Source organism: Homo sapiens, chromosome 1 (genome assembly GCF_000001405.40).
Source record: "Homo sapiens chromosome 1, GRCh38.p14 Primary Assembly".
In the NCBI taxonomy this organism is placed as follows: Eukaryota; Metazoa; Chordata; class Mammalia; order Primates; family Hominidae; genus Homo; species Homo sapiens.
Window position 1 is genome coordinate 27,264,248 of NC_000001.11, and position 23,425 is coordinate 27,287,672.

Genomic DNA, 23,425 nt, shown 5'->3' on the forward strand with positions numbered 1-23,425 from the left:
ACTGCACTCCATCCTGGACAACAGAGTGAAACTCTGTCTCAAAAAAGAAAAAAATAAAAGAAAGCCAGGTTCAATGACACATGCCTATAGTCCCAGCTATTTGGGAGGCTGAGACAGGATTGCTTGAGCCCAGGAGTTCAAGTCCAGCCTGAGCAATATAGCAAGACCTTGTCTCTAAAAATTAAAATGAAATAATAAAATGTTTAAAAAAAAAAACCAAAACCAAAAACCAGAACGCTTGTTCAAGTTTGTCCTGTCCTGTCCATGGATAGGCCAGATCTTTGGTCCAGAAATTCAGCTTTTTCATTGTGTCTGACATAGAGACTCCATAATGTTGGTTCCATTCTCTTTTCTTCCTCAACATCATGTGTTTTGTGGGTCTTTGTTTTGTTTTGTTTTGTTTTGTTTTGTTTTGTTTTTGGTAGAGTTGGAGTCTTGCTGTGTTGCCCAAGCTGATCTCCAATTCCTGACCTCAAACAGGTCTCTCACCTTGGCCTCCCAAAGTGCTGGGAATTCAGGCGTGAACCACCTCACCCAGCCAAGATCACATTTTGAATCTAATTTTTTTTTTTTGAAACAGTGTCTTGCATTGTTGCCCAGGCTGGAATGCAGTGGTGCCATCATGGCTCACTGCAGCCTCAACTTCCTGGACTCAAGTGATCCTCCTGCCTCAGCCCCCTGAATAGCTGGGATTACAGATACATGCCACTATGCCCAGCTAATTTTTGTATTTTTTTGTAGAGACAGGGTTTCACCATGTTGCCCAGGCTGGTCTCAAACTCCTGAGCTCAAGCCATTCACCTGCCTCAACCACCCAAAGTGCTTGGATTACAGGTGTGAGCTACTGTGCCTAGCCCACACTGTAAGCTTAAAAGAAATTAGTACTTGTTGAGTTTTGGCATAGTATCAAAGAAAGATATACACAGTTACCTGAAAAGGCTATTCAAATATTCCTTCCAATTCCAGCTTCTTTGTGAGGCTGGATTTTTTTCATATACTTCAACCAAAAATGACATTGCAATGGGCTGAATACAAAAGCAGATGAGAATCTACTGGTCTTCCATTAAACTAGACATTAAAGAAGTTTGCAAAAATGTAAAACAATGCCACTCTTCTCATTAAATTCTTTGCCTTGGAAAATATAGTTATTTCATCTAAAATGTGTTTTTTATTGTTGTTTTTTAGTGAATTAAGAATATGCCAGCCTGGGCAACATAGCGAGACCTTGTCTCTACTAAACATTTTTTAAAAAATGAATTAGCCAAGCATGGTGGTGCATACTTGTCCCAACTATTTGGGAGGCTAAAATGGGAGAATCACTTGGGCCCAGGAGGTTAAGCCTGCAGTGAGCTGTGATTGTGCCACTGCACTCCAGCCTGGGTGACAGAGTGAGACCCTGTTTAAAAAAAAAAAAATTGCTGGGCGCAGTGGCTCACACCTGTAATCCCAGCACTTAGGGAGGCTGAGGCAGGGGGATCACCTGAGGTCAGGAGTTTGAGACCAGCCTGACCAACATGGAGAAAGCCCATCTCTACAAAAAAATACAAAAATCAGTCGGCCATGGTGGTGTGTGCCTGTAATCCCAGCAACTTGGGAGGCTGAGGCAGGAGAATCGCTTGAACCCCGGAGGTGGAGGTTGCAGTGAGCCAAGATCTCGCCATTGCACTCTAGGCCTGGGCAACAAGCACAAAACTCCATCTCAGAAAAAAAAAATTGTTTTAATTTCTAATATGATAAATATTGACAGATATCACCCATATAAACAAAAGCTCTTTGGGATCCTCAGTAATTTTTAATAGCGTAAAGGGGTCCTGAAACTGGAAATGTTAAGAACCACTACTCTATAGAGCCATGGAATGGGATGCCTGAATAATATTGCCTGGGGGAAAAGCAGGAGGAGCAAGAAAAGGGTCCAGGACCAAGAACCAAGGTGTTTCAGCATTTAGAGAGTACCTACTTTTCCTCTTCCTCTACCCACTGAAGACAGAAAGAATAGCCATGGAGGTCTGAGGAGAACATGGTATCACGGTAGCCAAGGAGGAGAAAAAGCTTGAATGTGTTGATTTTTACAGTCTAACTCTCAAAAAGCCATCTGTTTTCCTCTTTCCTGGTTTGGAGTTGGAGGGAATACTATTTGCATTACCCCAAATAGTAATTAAAATACCTCTATAAGCAATATGAACTTGGAGAAGTTGTTTAACTTCTAAAGGCCATTTCTTCATCTGTAAAATAATGTCTCTTAGGTGTAAGTCAGTTAATTTATGTAAAGGACCTAGCACAGTGTCCAGTATATTGTATAAGTCCATGGCACACAACAAACATTAGCTGCTATTATTGTTGTTATTTATGGAAAGCTCTTAAAGTTTCCTAAGACGCCAGTCCCAAGATGGTGATTTGATGGCATCTAGCTATTTAAAACTTCTTCAGTCATTTCTTTCCCTGTTTTATTTCCATCATTGTCACATATGGACCTCATGTTAGTCAATAATAGTTTATCTTTGGCATTAAGAAAAGGTGATTAGTGGGAGGTAAGGGTGGGATAAGAGGGAAGATCAACAGTAAAAGCTGCTGCCTTTTGGTGGTTACTGGTTATGTTTTCTTTATGATCTGGGCAAAACATTTTTTCCTGGGTTTTCCAATTTTCTACTCTGTATGCTTTTGAAAAATGCAAAGGGAAGCTGAAAGAGAACTATTATGAGATAGTGTCAGACATTTAGTAGATGCTCAATAAAAACCTGTTGGTGTGATTGACTTTTTTGTTTTTCCACGTTAGAGGTAGCTTTCATAACCTTATCCCTATTCAACCATGCGATTTCTGTAGCTTCCGCCTTAATAATCTGGTCTGATTTTTACTTTTTGACTTTATAGTTTACATTTTATGTCCATTTAAAATTCAGACTTTAGCTAGTCTTGATATTTGTTACCCTTCCTGTATGTTGATAGAATTTATACCTACAGAGCTGACAGTTTAAAAAGCCTCCAAGTTAACTTGGATTACTTTCTTTTTTTTTTTTTTTGGCAACAGGGCCTCACTCTGTCGCCTAGGCTGTGGTGCAGTGGCCAATCTCGTCTCAGTGCAACCTCGCCTCCTGGGCTGAAGCAGTTCTTGTGCCTCAGCCTTCTGAGTAGCTGGGATTACAGGCGTGTGCCACCACACCCAGCTAATTTTTTTATTTGCTAGAGATGGAGTTTCGCCAAGTTGGCCAAGCTGGTCTCAAACTCCTGTCCTCAAGTGATCCACTCACCTTATTTTTTAATAGGTCAATATTCATATGGTTCAAATTCAAAAGTTTAAAAAGTCATCTCCTCATTATTTTTCCCAGCTATGTAATCCAGTTACGTGGAATTGACTAATATAATGAGTTTTAGTATCCTTTCAGAGGAATTTTATGCATAAAATTCTTACCTTTTCTCACAAATGTTAGCCTAACATATTTGCTGTTTCAGTAAGAAAATCAACAACTTACTAAAAAATTAAGGTCTAAAACAATGAAGTATCTTTAAAAAGATACTTTCATAATTTTGCCATATTCATACATATTTCTAATTTCTAATTCTTTCATGGTTCAGAGTGTTCTGTTGTGTATGTGGACCCATAATTTACTTAAATTATCCATACCAATAGACATGTAGATTATTTACAATTTTTTGCATGTACAAGGTCATTCCTTATGACATCATTTGGCACATGTGGTTATATCTCTTATCAGACGAATACCTAGGGTGGAATTTGTAGGTCAGAGGATATACACATCTGTGATTTTGATAAATATTACCAAAATTGCCTTCCATGGTGTTTGTACCAACTTTTGCTACTATCATACTCCTTCTGTCTTATATCAAACATAATGCTCAACAAATACTCTCTCTCAAACCCCAATGTGTTCATCATCATTTTGAGAAATTTCACAGGCGAGGCATGGTGGCTCACCCCTGTAATCTCAGTACTTTGTGAGGCTGTGGCAGGTGGATCACTTGAGCTCAGGAGTTCGAGACCAGCCTGGGCAACATGGCAAGACCCCTGTCTCTATACCATCAAAAATGAAAACTTAAAAAAAGAGAGATTTCACAGATGAGTGCAGAGTTATAGGCCAGAGAGATAACAGATTGGCTTTCAAGATACTTTTTTTTTTAATTTAATTTTTTAGGGTTTTGTTTGTTTGTTTGTTTGTTTGTTTGTGGTTTTTTTGTGACAGAGTCTTGCCCTGTCACCCAGGCTGGAGTGCAGTGGCGTGATCTTGGCTCACTGCAACCTCCGCCTCCCAGGTTCAAGTGATTCTCCTGCCCCAGCCTCCCAAGTAGCTGTGATTACAGGCGTGTGCCTCCATGGCTGGCTAATTTCTGTATTTTTAGTAGAGGTGGGGTTTCACCATGTTGGTCAGGCTGGTCTCGATCTCCTGACCTCGTGATTCACCCACCTCGGCCTCCCAAGTACTGGGATTACAGGTGTGAGCCACTGCGCCCAGCCGATTTTTTAGTTTTTTTGAGACAGAGTCTCACTCTGTCGCTCAGGCTGGAGTGCAGTGGCGCAATCTTGGCTCACTGCAACCTTTGCCTCCCGGGTTCAAGTGATTCTCCTGCCTCAGCCTCCCAAGTAGCTGGGACTACAGGTGCACGCCACCACACCCAGCTAATTTTTGTATTTTTAGTAGAGATGGGGTTTCACTATGTTGGCCAGGCTGGTCTTGAACTCCTGACCTCAGGTGGTCCACCCTCCTCAGCCTCCCAAAGTGCTGGGATTACAGGTGTGAGCCACTGCGCCCAGCCCAAGATACTTTTTTAAATTAAAAATGTAGGCTGGGTGCAGTGGCTCACGCCTGTAAATCCCAACACTTTGGGAGGCTGAGATGAGAGGATGGCAAGTCCAGAAAGAAGTTCAAGACCAGCCTGGGTAACATAAGGAGGCCCTGTTTCTCCAAAAAAAAAAAAAAAAAAAAAAAAAAATCAGCTAGGTGTGGAGGCACATGCCTATAGTCCCCAGCTACTTGGGAGGCTGAGGCAGTAGGATCGCTTGAGCCCAGGAGGTTGAAGCTGCAGTGAGCCATGATCACACCACTGCACTCCAACTTGGGCAACAGAGTGGGACTGCCTCAAAAAAAAAAAAAAGTACAAAACAGTAAATTCGTTAGGCTAACATATGAGTGTGGCAAGAGAGAATAGAGAATACTCAGTTCAAGAGAACAATTAGTCACAAAGTCCAAGTGGAAGAGGGATGAGAAATGAGGTTGGTGAGGTAAGTGTGGATGGGCTATTCATAATGAAGGATATTGTAAGCTACGTGGAAGACGATGGACAATGGAGAGTCATTGAATGGTTTTGACCATAAGAGCAACATGATCAGATTTTTTTTTGTTTTTTGTTTTTTTTTTTTCGGTTTTTTTTTTTTTGAGATGGAATTGCTCTGTCACCCAGGCTGGAGTGCAGTGGCACAATCTTGGCTTACTGCAACCTCCGCCTCCCAGGTTCAAGGAATTCTGCCTCAGCCTCCTGAGTAGCTGGGACTACAGGTGTGCACCACCACTCCTGGCTAATTTTTCTATTTTTAGTAGAGACGACGTTTCACCATATTGGCCAGGCTGGTCTTGAACGCCTGACCTTGTGATCCGCCTGCCTCGACCTCCCAAAGTGGTAGGGTTACAGGCATGAGCCACCACGCCCGGCCTTTGTTGTTGTTGTTGTTGTTGTTGTTGTTGTTGTTGTTGTTTTTGAGACAGAGTCTTGCTCTGTCACCCAGGCTGGAGCGCAGTGATGCGATCATGGCTCACGATAGCCTTGACCTCCTGGGCTTTGGGTGATCCTCCTACCTCAGCCTCCTGAGCAGCTGGGACTACAGACATGCACCACCATGCCCAGCTAGTTAGAAACAGGGTTTTACCGTGTTGCCCAGGCTGGTTTTGAACCGCTAGGCTCATGTAGTCCACCCACCTTGGCCTCTCAAAGTGCTGGGATTACAGACATGAGCCACCATACCTGAGCAGAGTTATGCTTTTTAAAAAATTAATGTTGGCTTCAAAATGAAGAATAGATTGCAGGTGTTTAAACTGGAGACAGGCAGAACCAGTTAAGAGGTTATGACAGTGATTCAGGAAGAGGTGATGGGTTACCTGAACTAAAATAACAGTAATTTGGATGGAGAGAAGTCAGTGGATTTGAGAGACATTTAAGAGGCATAATTAGGGCAAGTGCTGTAATCCCAGCACTTTGGAGGGCCAAGGCAGGCGGATTCCTTGAGCTCAGGAGTTCAAGACCAGCCTGGCTAACACGGTGAAACCCTGTCTCTACTAAAAATACAAAAATTAGCCAGGGGTGGTGACACACCACTGTGGTCCCAGCTACTTGGGAGCCTGAGGCACAACAATTGCTTGAGCCTGGGGGGACGTGGAGGTTGCAGTGAGCCAAGATTGTGCCACTGCACTCCAGCCTGGGCAACAGAGCGACTCTCCCTCAAAAAATTAAAAATTAAAATAATAAAACAGCCTAGGCAACAGAGTAAGATCCTATCTCAAAAACAAACAAACAAACAAACAATAAAAACAGATGTTGCCAAATTCTTCACCATGGGAGTTGCACCATTTTGTCTTCCCACTGGCAATGCATGAATGTGCCTGTTTCTCCATAACTCATCAGTAGACTGTATGGTTGAGCTTTTGAATTTTTTTTTATCATTCTAACTAGTGAAAAGTGTCTCAGTATAGTTTTAAGTTACATTTCTCTTATGAATGAAGTTTAATATATATTCCATATGCTTGAGGGCCATTTTAATATAATTTTTGCCAATTTTGGTGTAACAAAGGAGGGAGAATAAGAATTGATATATGCACCTGCATGGTTTTTGTAAACAGAAGCACAGGATGGATAAGGAGAAACTAATGAAATTGGTCACTCCAGCGGGTGGGAGGTATAAGGTAGAAGGGTAGAGAAAGGTGAGTAACTCTTCTGTGGACCTTTTTGTAGTTTTTACTTTTATTTATTTTATTTTTATTTTGAGACAGAGCCTGTCTCTGTTGCCCAGGCTGGAGTGCAGTGGCGTGATCTTGGCTCACTGCAACCTCTGCCTCCTGGGTTCAAGCAATTCATGTGCCTCAACCTCCTGAGTAGCTGGGATGACAGGCATCTGCCACCATGCCTGGCTAATTTTTGTATTTTGAGTAGAGACAAGGTTTCACTATGTTTGCTAGGCTGGTCTCAAATTCCTGGCCTCAAGTGACCTGCCTGCCACAGCCTCCCAAGATGTTGGGATTACAGGTGCGAGCCACCATGCCTGTTTACTTTTAGAACCATGTTGAGACTTTACGTTTTCAAAAAGTAAAATTAAATCAGCAAAGTTGGGAAGTGGGATGCCAACTAACTCATGTAATTTACTTTTTGTATTTTATTTTATTTTAATTTAATTTAATTTATTTTATTTGAGATGGAGTCTCACTCTGTTGCCCAGGCTGGAGTGCAATGGCATGATCTCATCTCACCACAGCCTCCGCCTCCTGGGTTCAAGTGATTCTCCTGCCTCAGCCTCCCGAGCAGCTGGGATTACAGGCGTGTGCTACCATGCCTGGTGATTTTTGTATTTTTAGTAGAGATGGGGTTTCTCCATGTTGGTCAGGCTGGTCTCGAACTCCCGGCCTCAGGTGATCCGCCCGCCTCAGCCTCCCAAAGTGCTGGGATTATAGGCGTAAGCCACTGCGCCCGGCCTAAAATTTTTTTTTTAAATAAAAAATAGGCTAGGCACGGTGGCTCACTCCTGTAATCCCAGCACTTTGGGAGGCCGAGGCGGGCGGATCACCTGAGGTTGGGAGTTCGAGACCAGCCTGGCCAACATGGTGAAACCCTGTCTCTACTAAAAATACAAAAATTAGCCGTGCGAGGTGGTGCACGCCTGTAATCCCAGCTGCTCGGGAGGCTGAGGCAGGAGAATCGCTTGAACCCGGCAGGCAGAGGTTGTGGTGAGCTGAGATCGTGCCATTGCACTCCAGCCTGGGCAACAAGAGTGAAACTCTGTCTTAAAAAAAAAAAATTTTTTTTTTAAGTAGAGACAAGGTTTTGCTGTGTTGCCCAGGCTGGTCTCAAACTCCTGGGCTCAAGTGATCCCACCTTGGCCTCCCAAGTACTCCCACAGTGCTGGGATGAGGCGTGAGCCACCATGCCCAGCCAATTTTTAAACATGATACTTTGTATATATTTTCAGTGTAAAGATAAAATGAACTTCAAAGAAATCTTGAGCTCTACTTAGTAGATTTGTCATTTGTAGCAGTATTGCTGTAGCAATTCCATAACTACTTTGTGTATGTTACAGAATTGAATAAAGAAGTCAATGTTGTTGGGAGCCAGAGTTCTCACTGTAGAAGGGAAATTCAAATATGGAATAGGGAAAGACGAGGAAGAACTCTAAGGTACTGGATTGGAATTAGCTTGTTTCAATATAAACTCATGATTTTAAAAACATGTATAGCTTGAGGCCAGGAGTTGGAGACCAGCCTGGGTAACATAGTGAGATCCCTATCTCCACAAATAAAAAATAGCTGGGCATGGTTACACATGTCTGTACTTCTAGGTACTCAGGAGTTTGAGGCAGGGGAATCACTTGAGCCCAGGAGGTCAAGGCTGCAGTGAGCTATGATTGCACCATTACACCCCAGCCTGGGCAACCCCAGCCTTGTCTCTAAAAAAATAAAAATAAACTACATATATAGAAATTTGTATTTATCTATTATTTCCAGCTCTGTCCACGCAAAGGTAATTTAGAAGCAGTAATACCATAGTAATTATGGGTTACTAGTTTCTAAATGCCATTCTCTATTAAAAGGAAGCAGGGATCCTTGGAGAAATAACTAATTCTAGTCTTGGGACAGGGCAAAAGTTGATATAGTCTTCAAAAATTTCAGTGTCATAGGAAACAAAAAAGGGCTGAGGAACTGTCTCAGATTAAAAGAAACAGAAAATGACTAATTTTCTTTTTCTTTTCTTTTTTTTTTTTTTTTTTTTGAGATGGAGTCTCGCTCTGTCAGCCAGGCTGGAGTGCAGTGGCACGATCTTGGCTCACTGCAACCTCTGCCTCCCAGGTTCACGCCATTCTCCTGCCTCAGCCTACCAAGTAGCTGGGACTACAGGCGCCCGCCACCACGCCCGGCTAATTTTTTGTATTTTTAGTAGAGACGAGGTTTCACCATGTTAGCCAGGATGGTCTTGATCTCCTGACCTCGTGATCTGCCTGCCTCAGCCTCCCAAAGTGTTGGGATTACAGGCGTGAGCCACCGTGCCCGGCCAGTGACTAATTTTCTTAATGACATTAAGAAAACATAAACCAAATGCAGTGTGTGATCCTGGATTGGATTCTGAATGAGGAAAATAAAATGGACATTATTGGACAGTTAGTGAAATTTGAATATGGACTATACGTTAGACAACAGTATTGTATCAGTGTTAAATTTTCTGATTTTGATAAATATGCGCTGGTTAAATAAAAGAATGACCAATGTTCTTAAGAATTATACACTGAAGTATTTAAGTGTAAGGGGTCCTGAAGTCTACAACTGATTTCTCAAATGGTTCAGAAAAAAAGTACTAAGTACTTTACACGTGTGTGTGTGTGTGTGTGTGCGTGTGTAGAGAGAGAGAAAGGAGAGGGAGGGAGAGGGAAAAAGATTATTTAATTTATCAATTAGGTAAAATGTATATATGGGCATTCTTATACTATTCTTGCAAACTTTTTATGTTTGAAATTGTTTCAAAATAGAAAGTTTAAATTGTTCATTAGGAAAATACAAAGGGCTGAGCATAGTGGCTCACACCTGTAATCCTATCACTTTGGAGGCTGAGGTGGGAGGATCACTTGAGCCCAGAATTGTGACCAGCCTGGGCAACATAACAGGACCTCATCTCTACAAAAAAATACAAAAATTAACCAGGTGTGGTGGTGTGTGCTTGTACTCCCAGCTACTAGGGAGTCTAACATGGGAGGATTGCTTGAGCCTAGGAGGTTGAGGCTGCAGTGAGCCATGATCATACCACTTACTCCAGCCTGGGCAATGGAAGGAGACACTGTCTTTAAAAAAGAGAGAGAGAGAGAGGGAAAGAAAAAAGAAAAGAAAATACAGAGAACTGGCTGGGGCACAGTGGCTCATGCCTATAACCCCATACTTTGGCAGTCAGGAGAATCATTTGAGGCCAGGAGTTTGAGACCAGCCTGGGCAACACAGCAAGACCCCATCTCCATAAAACATTTTTTAAAAGTAAAAGAAAATACAAAGAACTGTTGTAGTGGCAGCAACCAAGTAAGAGAGCCAGAAGGGAGGTTGAGATTAAACAATTTAAATTTAAATTAATGAGGATTAATTTAAGCCGTTCTAGTATATAAGACCCAATCAGTTTTCCACTTTCCTTGGACATTTTTGCTGAGCATTCCACATCCCTCTTTAGTTACATGTGCCAGCTCATCTCATGAGTTTTATTGTCACAACTGACAAGAACCAAATATCCTGGGATTCCAGCCATGGCCTGCAGTCCTCACTTTTTTGGGGAGTTGCTTGCTTTCATTTTGTATGTATTACCAGGGATCTCCCAAGATCACCTTGGAAGTTGTGATCACACTTTGATTCCTGCTATTTCATTCACTTGTGGGATTTCTTGGCACCGTATTAGACACATGGTAGAGAGAAGAAGAAAGGAATCTCACTTTACAAATCAGAGTAAAACTCAGCATTTCTAAGGTCAGATAAGTGGTAGAAATAAGATTTAAAAGATTTATATCAGGCTTATCTGGCTGCAGAGTTCATATCCTTTCCACCTCAACCATATGTCTGTTTTAAAAATGGCTTAATAGATAGTTCCTGGCTTGGTGGATTTATTCTCTTGCCTTATTAGTTTTCTTCATATTATCCTTAAACAATTGCAAACATTATGTATCTATCTCACCTTTACAATCTGGCCTGCTTGCTTTTTCCATTTTGTTTCTTATATTATTTTAGCATACATTCAAATTATGAATTTATGGAAACAAGTCATATGAAACTAGATTGATTTCCTTTGTGAATAGCTTTGGTAGACCAGAGCAGTTCCATGGGCATAGTGTAACCTTATTCTAACAAAGACTTGTCAGAGCTTTTTAAGGTAATACCATTTTAGAGAAGTAAACTAGATACCAAGTTCATTAAACAGTCATGTTTAAAGAAAAAGATGCCAGCCTGGCCAACATGGTGAAACCCCTTCTCTACTAAAAATACGAAAAATTAGCCAAGCATGATGGCAGGCACCTGTAATCCCAGCACTTGGGAGGCTGAGGCAGGAGAATTGCTTGAACCCAGGAGGCGGAGGTTGCAGTGAGCCGAGATTGCACCACTGCACTCTAACCTGGGCGACAGAGTGAGACTCTGTCTCAAAAAAAAAAAAAAAATAAAGAAAAAGATGGAGCGGGGATCTGACTTTGTGAGAGATTTCCTTTCGTGAGGACTGTCCTTTAAATCCAGATCAGCAATTTGTGGCCAGTGGGCCAAATCCAGAATGTCGCCTGTTTGCTTGTTTGTTATTTTATTTAATTGAGTGGTTTTGACTATTCACAAACTATACTCACAAAGTTTTGCAACCATCCCTGCTATCTAATTCCAGGATGTTTTCATCACCCCAAAAAGGAACCTCTTACCCATCTTAGCAGTCACTTCCTTCTCCCATACTGGCCCTACCCCAGAAACCACTAATCTATTTTCTGTTGCAATGGATTTTCCTATTCTGAACATTTCACGTAAATGAAATTATAAAGTGTGTGGCTTTTTAGCATAATGCTTTTAAGATTCATCTATGTTATAGTATGAATCTGTACTTCTCTTTTTTGCGGCCAAATAGCATTCCATCATTTGGATGTACCACATTCTGTCTATCCATTCATCAGTTGGTGGAACATGTGGTTGTTTCTATTTTTTGGCTATTATAAATAATGCTGCTATGAACCTTCATGTACAAGTTTTTGTGTGGACATGTTTTCTTCACTTTTCTTGGTATATACCGAAGGGTGGAATTGCTGGGTCATATGGTAACTCAGTGTTTAACTTTTTTGAGGAACTGCCAAACTGTTTTCCAAAGTGGTACCACCATTTTACATTCCCACCAGAAATGTGTGAGGGTTCCAATTTGTCTGCATCCTTGCCAACACTTCTTATTATCAATATTTTTTATTATAGGCCAGGCGCGGTGACTTATGCCTATAATCCCACACTTTGGGAGGCCGAAGCAGGCAGATCACAAGGTCAGGAGATTGAGACCATGCTGGCTAACACAGTGAAACCCCATCTCTACTAAAAATACAAAACTTAGCCAGGTGTGGTGGCACACACCTGTAGTCCCAGCTACTTGGGAGGCTGAGGCAGGAGAATTGCTTGAACCCAGGAGGAGGAGATTGCAGTGAGCCGAGATTGCGCCACTGCACTCCAGCCTGGGTGACAGAGCAAGACTTCGTCTCGAAAAAAAAAAAGAAAAGAAAAAAAAATTTTTTTTTTATTATAGCCCTCCTGGTGGGTGTGAAGTGGTATCTCATTGTGGTTTTGATTTTCATTTCCCTAATGACTAATGATGTTGAGCATGTTTTCATGTGCTTGTTGTCATATTTGTGTATTTTCTTTGGAGAAATGTCTGTTGAGATGCTTCACTCATTTTTTAATTGGGTTGTCCTTTTTTATTGTTGAGTTATAAGATATGTATGATTTGAAATTTTGTTTCTTTTCCTTTGTGTGTTGTCTTTTCATTTTTAAATGGTGACTTTGCATAAAAGTTTTAATTTTAATGAAATTCAATTTATGTTTTATTTTTTTTTTTTAATTGATATGGGATCTGTCTCTGTAACCCTCACTGGAGTGCAGTGGCACAGTCATGGCTTACTGCAGCCTTACCCTCCCAGGCTCAAGCAATCCTCCCATCTCACCCTCTTGAGTAGCTGGGACTGCAGGCGCACACCACCATGCCCAACTAAACTTTTTTTCTTTTGTTGCTGGTGCTTTTGGTGTTGTGTCTTAAAAAACATTGCCTAATCCAAGGTCATGAATATATACACCTGTGTTTTCTTCTAAGAGTTTTGTAGTTTTAGATTTTATATGTAGGTCTTTGATCCATTTGAATTAATTTTTATGTATGGTGTGAGGTAAGGATCCAACTTCATTCTTTTACATGTGGACATCCACTTGTCCTGGCACCATGTGCTAAAAAGACTATTCTTTCCTTCTACTTAATTGCTTGACACTCTTTTTTTTTTAAGAGACGGAGTCTGGCTATGTTGCACAGGCTGGTCTCAAACTCTTAGTCTCAAGTGATCTTCCTGTCTTAGTCTCCCAAATAGCTGGGATTATAGGTACAAGCCCCTGTTCCCAGCCTGTCTTGATACTCTTATCAGAAATCAATTGACTGTAAATTTAAGGATGTATTTATGAACTCTCAACTCTAGTCCATTGATCTAAATGTCTATTCTTATGCCAGTACCACACTGTTTTGATTGCTGTAGCATTGTAGTAAGTTATAAAATTGGGAAGTATGAGTCTTTCAACTTTGTTCATTTTTCAAGATTGTTTTGTCTATTCTGGGTCTCTGGTATTTCCATATGAGCTTTATTTTATTTTAATTTGAAAAAAATTTTTTGAGACAGAGTCTCACTCTGTTGCCCAGGCTGGAGTGCAGTGGCATGATCTTGGCTCACCGCAACCTCCACTTCCTGGTTTCAAGCGATTCTCCTGCCTCAGCCTCCTGTGTAGCTGGGATTACAGGCATGCATGATGACACCCAGCTAATTTTTTTTGTGTTTTAGTAGAGATGGGGTTTCACCATGTTGGCCAGGCTGGTCTCAAACCCCTGACCTCAAATGATCAGCCCAACTCAGCCTCCCAAAGTGCTGGGATTACAGGCGTGAGCCACCACACCTGGCCCATATGAGCTTTAAATTCAAATTTATTGCCACCTGTTTTTATAAGTAAAGTTTTATGGGAACACAGCATACTCACTTATGTATTGCTTATGTTTGCTCTAGTGATTCAATGGTAGAATTGAGTAGTAGTGATATAGACCATATGGCCTGCAAGACCTACAATATTTACTATCTGAGCCTTTACAGAAAAGATTGCTGACCTCTGCTTTAGATGATGGAGTAAACTCATGCTTTGAAGTACCAGAGGGCAGAACTAGGAACTATTCATTAATTCAGTCATATTTTCAAGCAAATATTGAATGCCTACTATATGACAGAAATGTTCTAGACACTGGGAAAATAATATAGCAGTGAATAAGACCAACACAATTCCTGGCCCCATGAAGCTTCTTGCCATGACCTGTAAAACACCCTTAGGATCTGGCCTCTGCTCACCTCCCTGAGCCCATCTTGCTCATCTTACTCTGTCCCCTTCATCACAATGCTCTAACCACATTGGCTTTCATTCTGTTTCTTTGGCATTATCAGGCCTGTTATTTTTATACTCATTATTCCATATGCCTGAAATGCTTTTCCTTCACATCTTTATGTAACTTGCTACTTCTCAGCATTCAGATTTCACCTCAAATATTAATTCCTCAGAGCGGCTTTCCCTGACCACTATATCTAAAGTATATCCAGGCCAGGTATGGTGGCTCATGCCTGTAATCCCAGCACTTTGGGAGGCCAAGGCCAACATGGCAAAACCCCGTCTCAACTAAAAATACAAAAATTAGCCAGGTGCAGTGATGTGTGCTTCGAACCCCAGCTACTTGAGAGACTGAGGCAGAGAATTACTTGAACCTGGGAGGTGGACGTTGCAGTGAGCTGAGATTGCGCCACTGCACTCCAGCCTGGGTGACACAGTAATACACTGTCTCAAAAAATAAAAATAAATAACATATATTCATCACACTTAGTACCATCTGAATTCATCTTACTGATTTATATGTTTGTTTATTTTCTCTCTTACCCTACTAGAGTTCTCTTAATTGCCACAACAACCTTTGCATGTGTAAGAATGCCTAGTATATAATAGGTGCTTGAATAATTGTTAAAAGATTGAATTAAGGCCGGACACAGTGGCTCACGCATGTAATCCCAGCACTTTGAGAGGCTGAGACAGGCAGATCACTTGAGCCCAGGAGTTCAAAACCAGCCAGCCTGGTCAACATGGCAAAACCCCATCTCCACAAAAAATACAAAAATTAACCAGGTGTGGTGGCACGCATCTCTAGTCCCAGCTACTCAGGAGGCTGGGGTGGGAGGATCGCTGGAGCCCGACCAGAAATATAATCGCTCCTTTTCATGACTTTTAGGAGGATTTTTCTTTCTCCAATATAGTTCACATTGGGCTGTGCTTACATTTTTTGTTTCTTGGGATTTTTTTGTTTTTGTTTTTGTGAGACAGAGCCTTGCTCTGTTGCCCAGGCTGGAGTGCAGTGACGTGATCATGGCTCACTGTAGCCTCCACCTCCCGGATTCAAGTGATCCTCACACCTTAGCCTCCCCAGTAGCTGGGACTACAGGTGCACGCCACCACACCTGGCTAATTTTTTAAATTTTTGTAGAGCTAGCATCTCACTATGTTGTCCAGACTAGTCTCCAACTCCTGGGCTCAAGCAATCCTCCTGCCTAGCCTCCCAAAGTGCTGAGATTACTGGTGTGAGCCACCATGCCCAGCCTGTGCTGTAAGTCTTGAACTCTCTTGGTGCAATGGAAAAGACATATTTGGATTTTATTTCTGATTCTGCCACTCAGCTATCAAAGTAACCACTCAAAGTGCTTTACAAATACTGTTCATTTCCCACAACAACCCTATGAGGCTATCTACAATTATTATCTTTTTTACTGATGTAGAGCCTGAGACACAGAGAGGTTAAAGAACTTGCTCAAGGAAATACAGCTTGTACACATAAAATGATATTTGTTGTATTTTATGGACAACTTAATGGATTTTCAAGGGTAATTATGTGAAGTACTTAGGACAGGGCCTGACACATAGTAAGCTAAGTTTACCTATTCTTATAATTATTACTACTCCATATAAGTAATTCTTAGGCACACTAAAATTTGAGAAAACATTGAGCTGGATTAAAGAAGGAACAAAAGAAAAGATTTTATGGAAATGTCTGGATATTCAAATCATTCTGACTTTAAGACAACATATCATTAAGTCAATGGAGAGTGAGTGAGGAATTTTTTAAAGTTTTATTTGCTGTCAGAACTTACTCCATTCTGTTAAAATATTGCACCTACATAACCTTAATACATGGTAATAAGTATGTGTATTGTGAAGCTTAAATAAATTGACAAAAGTGAAAGCTTAGCATCTACCCTGGCATTTAGTAAGTGTTCTGTTAATTTTGCTGGATTTTAATCTAAATCTTGCTTGTTCAGACTCATTCATGCTGTTTTTTAAGAAGTTAGAGAGAAGCACTTGGCTGTCTGCTTCCTGTCTTTCCTAGTTGGCATTTTTTGTGGAGGCTTCATTAAATATCTGTAACTTTCATGCTCTTTGACATTGACCCTTTAGGTTGAGCCTCATTACACAAGGGTTTAGGCCTGAAGTCAGCAGGTACGTTAAATGTGTATATGATGAATCTCACTGGGTTGTAGTTAAGAGAGGGTCCTTATGTGTAGCTACACAAACTGGATCACAGGCTTTGCCTGAAAGTCAGAAAATGTTCTCAAAGATCCTTTAAGCCTCTTCCTAAAGCCTGACATTCCTGTTTTTTTCTGGGTTTGTTTGGTATCTCTCTCCTTTTTCTTTTTCTTATTTTTATTTTATTTTATTTTATTTTTGAGACAGAGTCTCTCTCTCTTTTTTTTCAAATCCCCAAGATAAAGACTCTGACCTAATTTACCTTACTGCACCAGGCTCTACCTATTTGAATTAAGCTCTGGAAGATCCAAGGAGTTTTTTATACTCCTGTACCCCCAGCATCTGAACAGTACCTGGCATGCAGTAGGTGCTTGATGAATAATTTGCCGTGTGAGGCTGGGCGCGGTGGCTCACGCCTGTAATCCTAGCACTTTGGGAGGCCGAGGCGGGCGGATCATGAGGTCGAGACCATCCTGGCTAACACGGTGAAACCTCTGTCTCTACTAAAAATACAAAAAATTAGCCTGGCGTGTTGGCGGGCGCCTGTAGTCTCAGCCACTCAGGAGGCTGAGGCAGGAGAATGGCATGAACCCAGGAGGCGGAGGTTGCAGTGAGCTGAGATCATGCCACTGCACTCCAGCCTGACTCTGTCTCAAAAAAAAAAAAAAAAAAAATGCTGGGTGAATAAAAGATTAGCCTTCTAGTTAATTGGCTGTCCTTGGATTGAATGTTTCCTGGCAAATTTTCTGTGACTGAGAGGGTATCCCTTGAAGGTACTGTTTCAGACATATCTCTTTTTCTGTTTTTGTTTTGTTTTGTTTGAGACACGGTCTGGCTCTGTCGCCCAGGCTGGAGTGCAGTGGTGCGATCTCAGCTCACTCCAACCTCCACCTCCCAGGCTCAAGTCATCCTCCCAACCTCAGCCTCCCGAGTAGCTTGGACTACAGGCACATGCCACCACACCCAACTAATTTTTGTGTTTTTTGTAGAGATGGGGTTTCGCCGTGTTGCCCAGGTTGATTACAACTCCTGAGCTCAAGCAATCTGCCCAAAGCAGATTGGGCAGCCTCCCAAAGCACTAGGATTACAGGTGTGAGCCTCTGTGCCTGGCTGACATACTCCTTCTAATGGTAAAAGCAGAAATGTGTTTGGATCTCACTTTTACTGCTTTCTACTGTCTGAACTTCAGTTTACTTTTCTGCAAAACGGGATCAATGAAACTTGTCCTTTATGGCTCAGAAGTGCCCAGTATCAAGTGAGATCATGAATATGAAAGTACTTTATATATTGTAAGACGCTAGTCAGTTTAAGTCCACTTTGGCCACTCACATGCACTTGGAAAATATTGAAAATGGAAAGACTGGTTTACCTGTTCAGTTCCACTTCTTGGTGTTGAGTTCCCCAGGAGAACCCCTAACCAACTCTCTTCCTGTCTCTTCATTTGCTCCCCCAGGGTCACTCAGGATGTGTCAACTGTCTGGAGTGGAATGAGAAAGGAGAGTAAGTATGAGCTAGAGCACCTGAAGGGTGCTGGGGAAGGAAGTAAGGAGGGTGGAACAGCAAGGCTCCTCCTGAGAGGATCCAAGGAAAAGATTGGACCCAAATGAAAAGAGACTGCTGCTGTCTGCCGTTCTTCAGCTTAGCCCATAATTTTCAACACAATTAAACAATCTCAGATAGATGGAAAGTTGGATGACCATCCAAACCCTGTTTTGTTTTGTTTTGTTTTGTTTTAGAGACAGAGTCTCATTCTGTCACCCAGGCTGGAGTGCAATGGCGTGATCTTGGCTCACTGCAACCTCCGCCTTTCAGGTTCAAGCGGTTCTCCTTAATCAGCCTCCCAAGTAACTGGGACTACAGGCATGCGCCACCATGCCTGGCTAATTTTTTGTATTTTTAGTAGAGACGAGGTTTTGCCATGTTGCCCAGGCTGGTCTCAAACTCCTGAGCTCAGGCAATCCACCTGCCTCAGCCTCCCAAAGTGCTAGGATTACAGGCATGAACTACCGCGCCCGGCCCAAAACCCTGTTTTTTTAATAAGCCAATGTGTTTAAGAATGATAGAAATTTCTTGGCCGGGCGTAGTGGCTCACGCCTGTAATCCTAGCACTTTGGGAGGCCGAGGCGGGTGGATCACGAGGTCAGGAGATTGAGACCATCCTGCCTAACACAGTGAAACCCCGTCTCTACAAAAAAACAAAAAATTAGCCGGGTGTGGTGGCGGGCGCCTGTAGTCCCAGCTACTCAGGAGGCTGAGGCAGGAGAATGGCGTGAACCTGGGAGGCGGAGCTTGCAGTGAGCCGAGATCGCGCCACTGCACTTCCAGCCTGGGGGACAGAGCGAGACTCCATTTCAAAAAAAAAAAAAAGAATAATGGAAATTTCTCAGGACAAAATAGAAGAGAATCAGCTGTTTACAAGGCAACCTTAAATTCTGTGACATTTACTGTTCTTCAAATTCTGTAACCTAACTCCTTGTAAACTGAGAACATGGGATGGGGAAAGGGAGCCTAGGAATTTGAGGAGAGATCACAATCCCTCACTCTGCTTTCAGCTTGCTGGCCTCTGGTTCCGATGACCAGCACACGATTGTGTGGGACCCGCTGCACCACAAGAAGCTGCTCTCCATGCACACGGGACACACCGCAAATATCTTCTCTGTCAAGGTGAGCAGGACAAGCCACAGAGCAAGCACAAGCCACAGATCAAGCACAAGAGTGACTGGGCTGTGGCCACGCCATGTTGGTATGTGTGTGTCCCATATACCGTCTAGGGTCACAGACAACCTTATGATCTAAGTATCTGTTGGTGATTCCTGAAACCTCATTTCTCTTCCATGTTCTTCTTCCTCTTTTAGAGCTAAGCGGCCAATTCTAGATGAATTTATCTTTATGTGAATGGTAGTGGTGGGGGTATGGTTCTGAACGTGAACTTAGAGAGCAGGCATACCTGGGTTTGACTCCCTTATCTGCTTCTTGGGCATTGTGTGACCTGGGCAAATCACCTGACCTGTCTGAGCCTGTTTGCTCATCTGTAAAAAAGGAAGCAGCGAAGGAAAATCTCCCAGATTTGTAAACAAATTAATTTTTTTAAAAGGAAATAACAGTCTACAAGGTTGATGTGACAGTTCAATGAGATAATTGATAAAAATAAAGTCTGTGCCCAGTGCTTTTTATCTGTTCTACCCCTTCATAGGAAATGAATATTTTGATTTGTTGGAGGAGGGGAGTTGAGCGGAGGAGAGGTGAGAAGGGGACTTACAAGTGTCTTCAGACCTTTGAAGCTCTGTTGAAGCCCTGGAAATGACATGAGACATGTTTTTTTGTTGTGGAAAACAGACCTAGGACTAGTGGCTGTAAGTCCACAGAATTAAATGTGGGCCTGAGGAAAGAAAGAACTGTCTAATGCTTAGAGCTCTTTGAAAAATGTAGAATGGGCCCCTGGAGGAGATGAGTAAATGTCCTATCCCTGCACTTGTCCACTCGCCAGGTGCTTTATCTCCAAGATTTAAAGTTGGAAGAAATGGCCTGCAAGGAAGGGCCTTTCCAGCTCTGAGATTCTATAATGGATAGATGTGAGAATGAAGTTGTCCTTCGGAAACCCTCACTATTCTAAGAAATATTTTCGTAATTAATATCAAGAGGAATTACAAGATACCTGAACAAGATGATAGCTCCAAACCTACTTGTTTTCCTAAACCCTTTTTTCTTCTCAAGCTATGATTCTCGCCTTTAGAGACAGAACAATGATGATTTACCTCTTATATGACTAACGGAAACTGCTTTCTTCCCCTGCAAAGAGTTTAGGTCCAATTTTAGTCTGCACAGTCAGGCCTGGGGAAGGGGACCTAAGCCATTAGTTTAGCATCAGAGCACAAGACATTGATTTCTAACACCAGAATTTCATAATGGTCTTGATACTCCCTAACGGTAAGACCTTGGGAACGGCACTTACATGCAGACTGTCAGCCTCCTCTTCTATTTAAAAAAAAAAAAACAACCTGAAAAGGATTCTTCTTTCTTTAGGTAGTGGAAACACTGCAGATGTATATGTATTTAACTCATGCGCTCCCCCTGGTGGTGACTATGGTGTGTGATGCGTGTGGCAGCAGCCACAAGATCATGACAAGGGCTCCCCAGTTTATTTCTGCTGTGCATTGAGTGTATGCCGTCTCTAGACAGGATTAAAGACTACTGGTTGTCCCTAAAATAATTAAATCATGTCTATTTCATCTAGACCTTGGTCTTTTTTTTTTTTTTTTTTTTTTGAGGGTGAGTCTTACTCTGAATGTCGCCCAGGCTGGAGTGCAGTTGGCACAATCTTGGCTCACTGCAACCTCCGCCTCTGGGTTCAAGCGATTCTTGTGCCTCAGCCTCCTAAGTAGCTGGGATTACAGGTGTGCACCACCACACCTGGCAGATTTTTGTATTTTTAGTAGAGATAGGGTTTCACCATGTTGGCCAGGCCAGTTTCGAACTCCTGACCTCAGGTTATCCACCCACCTAAGCCTCCCAAAGTGTTGGGATTACAGGCATGAGCCACAGTGCCTGGCTAGACCTTGTTCTAATGGCCCTTAGAGAAGCCTATGTGGAAAGAGTGAATTGTTGTTCTTTGTGAACATTTAAAGTCAAGTGGGACATCAGCTGTTTCAGTGTAGGACATTGCCCCTCCCCCAACACTACCACTCAGCCTTGTTGTGGGTAGGGAGGAACTTTTCAATTTTAAAAAAAAGATATTTCAATTTTTTGAACTCACACGAGAATTCAACACCACTCCCAAATATTTTTTATCCTCAAAGTTATGTGATAGAACTACATACTTTCTTTCTTGTTTCTTTTCTTTTTTTTTTTTTGAGACAGAGTCTCGCTCTTGTTGCCCAGGCTGGAGTACAGTGGCAAGATCTCGGCTCACCGCTGCCTCAGCCTCCCGAGTAGCTGGGACTACAGGCATACACCACCACACCCGGCTAATTTTTTGTATTTTTAGTAGAGACAGGGTTTCTCCATGTTGGTAAGGCTGATCTTGAATTCCCGACCTCAGGTGATCCACCTGCCTCCGCCTCCCAAAGTGCTGGGATTACAGGTGCGAGCCACAGCGCCCAGCCCAGAACTGCATACTTTCTTTTTTCATTATTTGAAGCTATGGTTGCAGCTGTTTTTTTCTTATCAGATGTCATCTGGAGTATTTTGTTCTTGCCTTTATCAGGATGGTGGTTTTTTTTTTTTTTTTTTTTTTTGAGATGGAGTCTTGTTTGCTCTGTCACCCATGCTGGAGTGCAGTGATGCCATCTCAGCTCACTGCAACCTCCACCTCCCGGCTTCAAGTGATTCTCCTGCTTCAACCTTCCGAGCAGCTGGGATTACAGGTGCACACCACCACATCCGGCTAATTTTTTTTGTAGTAAAGACGGGGTTTCACCATGTTGGCCAGGGTGGTCTCAAACTCCTGACCTCAGGTAATCCGCCTACCTCGGCCCCCCAAAGTGTTGGGATTACAGGTGTGAGCCACGGCACCTGGCCGGTTTTTTTTGTTTTTTTTTTTAATAAATACTGCATAGAGATGTATCCTCTTGATGCTCAGCCCTTCCCTATTGTCCAACATTTGAGCTGTTTCCAATATTTGCTATTATAAGAGGCATCCAAGCATTTCTGACCAGGTCCCTTTTTTCTTTTTGGATTATTTCCTTTTTTTTTTTTTTTTTTTTGAGATGGAGTCTCGCTCTGTTGCCCAGGCTGGAGTGCAGTGGCGTGATCTCAGCTCACTGCAAGCTCTGCCTCCTGGGTTCACACCATCCTCCTGCCTCAGCCTCCCGAGTAGCTGGGACTACAGGCGCACGCCCGGCTAATTTTTTTATATTTTTAGTAGAGACGGGGTTTCACCGTGTTAGCCAGGATGGTCTGGATCTCCTGACCTTGTGATCTGCCCGCCTCAGCCTCCCAAAGTGCTGGGATTATAGGCATGAGCCACCACGCCTGGCCTGGATTATTTCTTGGAAGTGGAAGTTTTGAGTCAAAAACTAGAAATTGTTTTTAATCTTTGTTACTATTACCAGATTGTTTTTCAGAAGCAGTCAAACTAATTTAAAACACTCACTCCCAACAGGGCATTCTGGCTCATGCCTACAATCCCAGCACTTTGGGAGGCCAAGGCAGGTGGATCACCTGAGGTCAGGAGTTCGAGACCAGCCTGGCCAACATGGTGAAACCCTGTCTCTACTAAAAATACAAAAATTAGCTGGGCGTGGTGGTGCACACCTGTAATCCCAGCTACTCAGGAGGCTGACACAGGAGAATCGCTTGAACCCGGGAGGTGGAAGTTGCAGTGAGCCGAGATTGCACCACTGCACTCCAGCCTGGGTGACAGAGCGAGACGCTGTCTCAAAAAAAAAAAACAAAAAAAACCCACACACACCCATTCCCTTAAACACTCAAAGTCTTTTTCACTTCAGGACTAATTTATTACTTAATCTCTAGGTTACTAAGTAGTCATAATGAGGCAAGTAGGGCATGTGGGAGTCAGACAGACTTGGGCTTGAACACAATCTTGCTGTATATTACTGCTGAACCTCAAGGGTTTGTTTTGTTTTTTGTTGTTGTTGTTGTTTTTGAGACAGTCTCGCTCTGTTGCCCAGGCTGGAGTGCAGTGGCACAATCTCGGCTCACTGCAGCCTCTGGCTTCCTGCAGCCTCTGCCTCCTGGGTTCAAGGGATTTTCCTGCCTCAGCCTGCTGAGCAGCTGGGATTACAGGCATGAGCCACCGCGCCCAGCCTGCATGGGCTCATTCTCTTATCTGACATGGAGAGAGAAAAGGGTGCAGACATCCAGGCTAGCCTCCTTCCGTGGCCATTTCTACTCTTACCACCCACCCCTTCCTCCATTTCTCCTATATA

At 42.6% G+C, this 23,425-nt stretch overlaps 1 protein-coding gene across 10 annotated transcripts in view, besides 2 other annotated features; it reads left to right on the top strand.

The window, feature by feature from the left end:
* WDTC1 (WD and tetratricopeptide repeats 1) overlaps positions 1–23,425 on the top strand; it is a 74,196-nt gene that overhangs the window by 29,807 nt on the left and 20,964 nt on the right. For 9 of the 10 annotated variants that reach the window (XM_047449749.1, NM_001410767.1, XM_047449760.1 and 6 more), the window contains exons 4-5: positions 17,992–18,038; positions 19,091–19,202. In XM_047449749.1, coding sequence (XP_047305705.1) covers positions 17,992–18,038; positions 19,091–19,202 — 159 coding nt within the window. Of the gene's footprint in view, positions 1–8,290; positions 8,388–17,991; positions 18,039–19,090; positions 19,203–23,425 lie in introns of all 10 variants that reach the window. The other variant, XM_047449768.1, reaches the window with a different exon arrangement.
* Positions 20,538–20,617: a silencer, noted in NCBI's record as "silent region_507". NCBI's record gives its function as "represses an Ori minimal core promoter by ATAC-STARR-seq in GM12878 lymphoblastoid cells {active_cell/tissue: GM12878}" and the evidence as "EXISTENCE:reporter gene assay evidence [ECO:0000049][PMID:35858748]".
* Positions 22,677–23,319: an enhancer, noted in NCBI's record as "H3K4me1 hESC enhancer chr1:27613415-27614057 (GRCh37/hg19 assembly coordinates)". NCBI's record gives its function as "activates a minimal SCP1, AML or CMV promoter by ChIP-STARR-seq in naive H9 embryonic stem cells {active_cell/tissue: H9 hESC(naive)}" and the evidence as "EXISTENCE:reporter gene assay evidence [ECO:0000049][PMID:30033119]".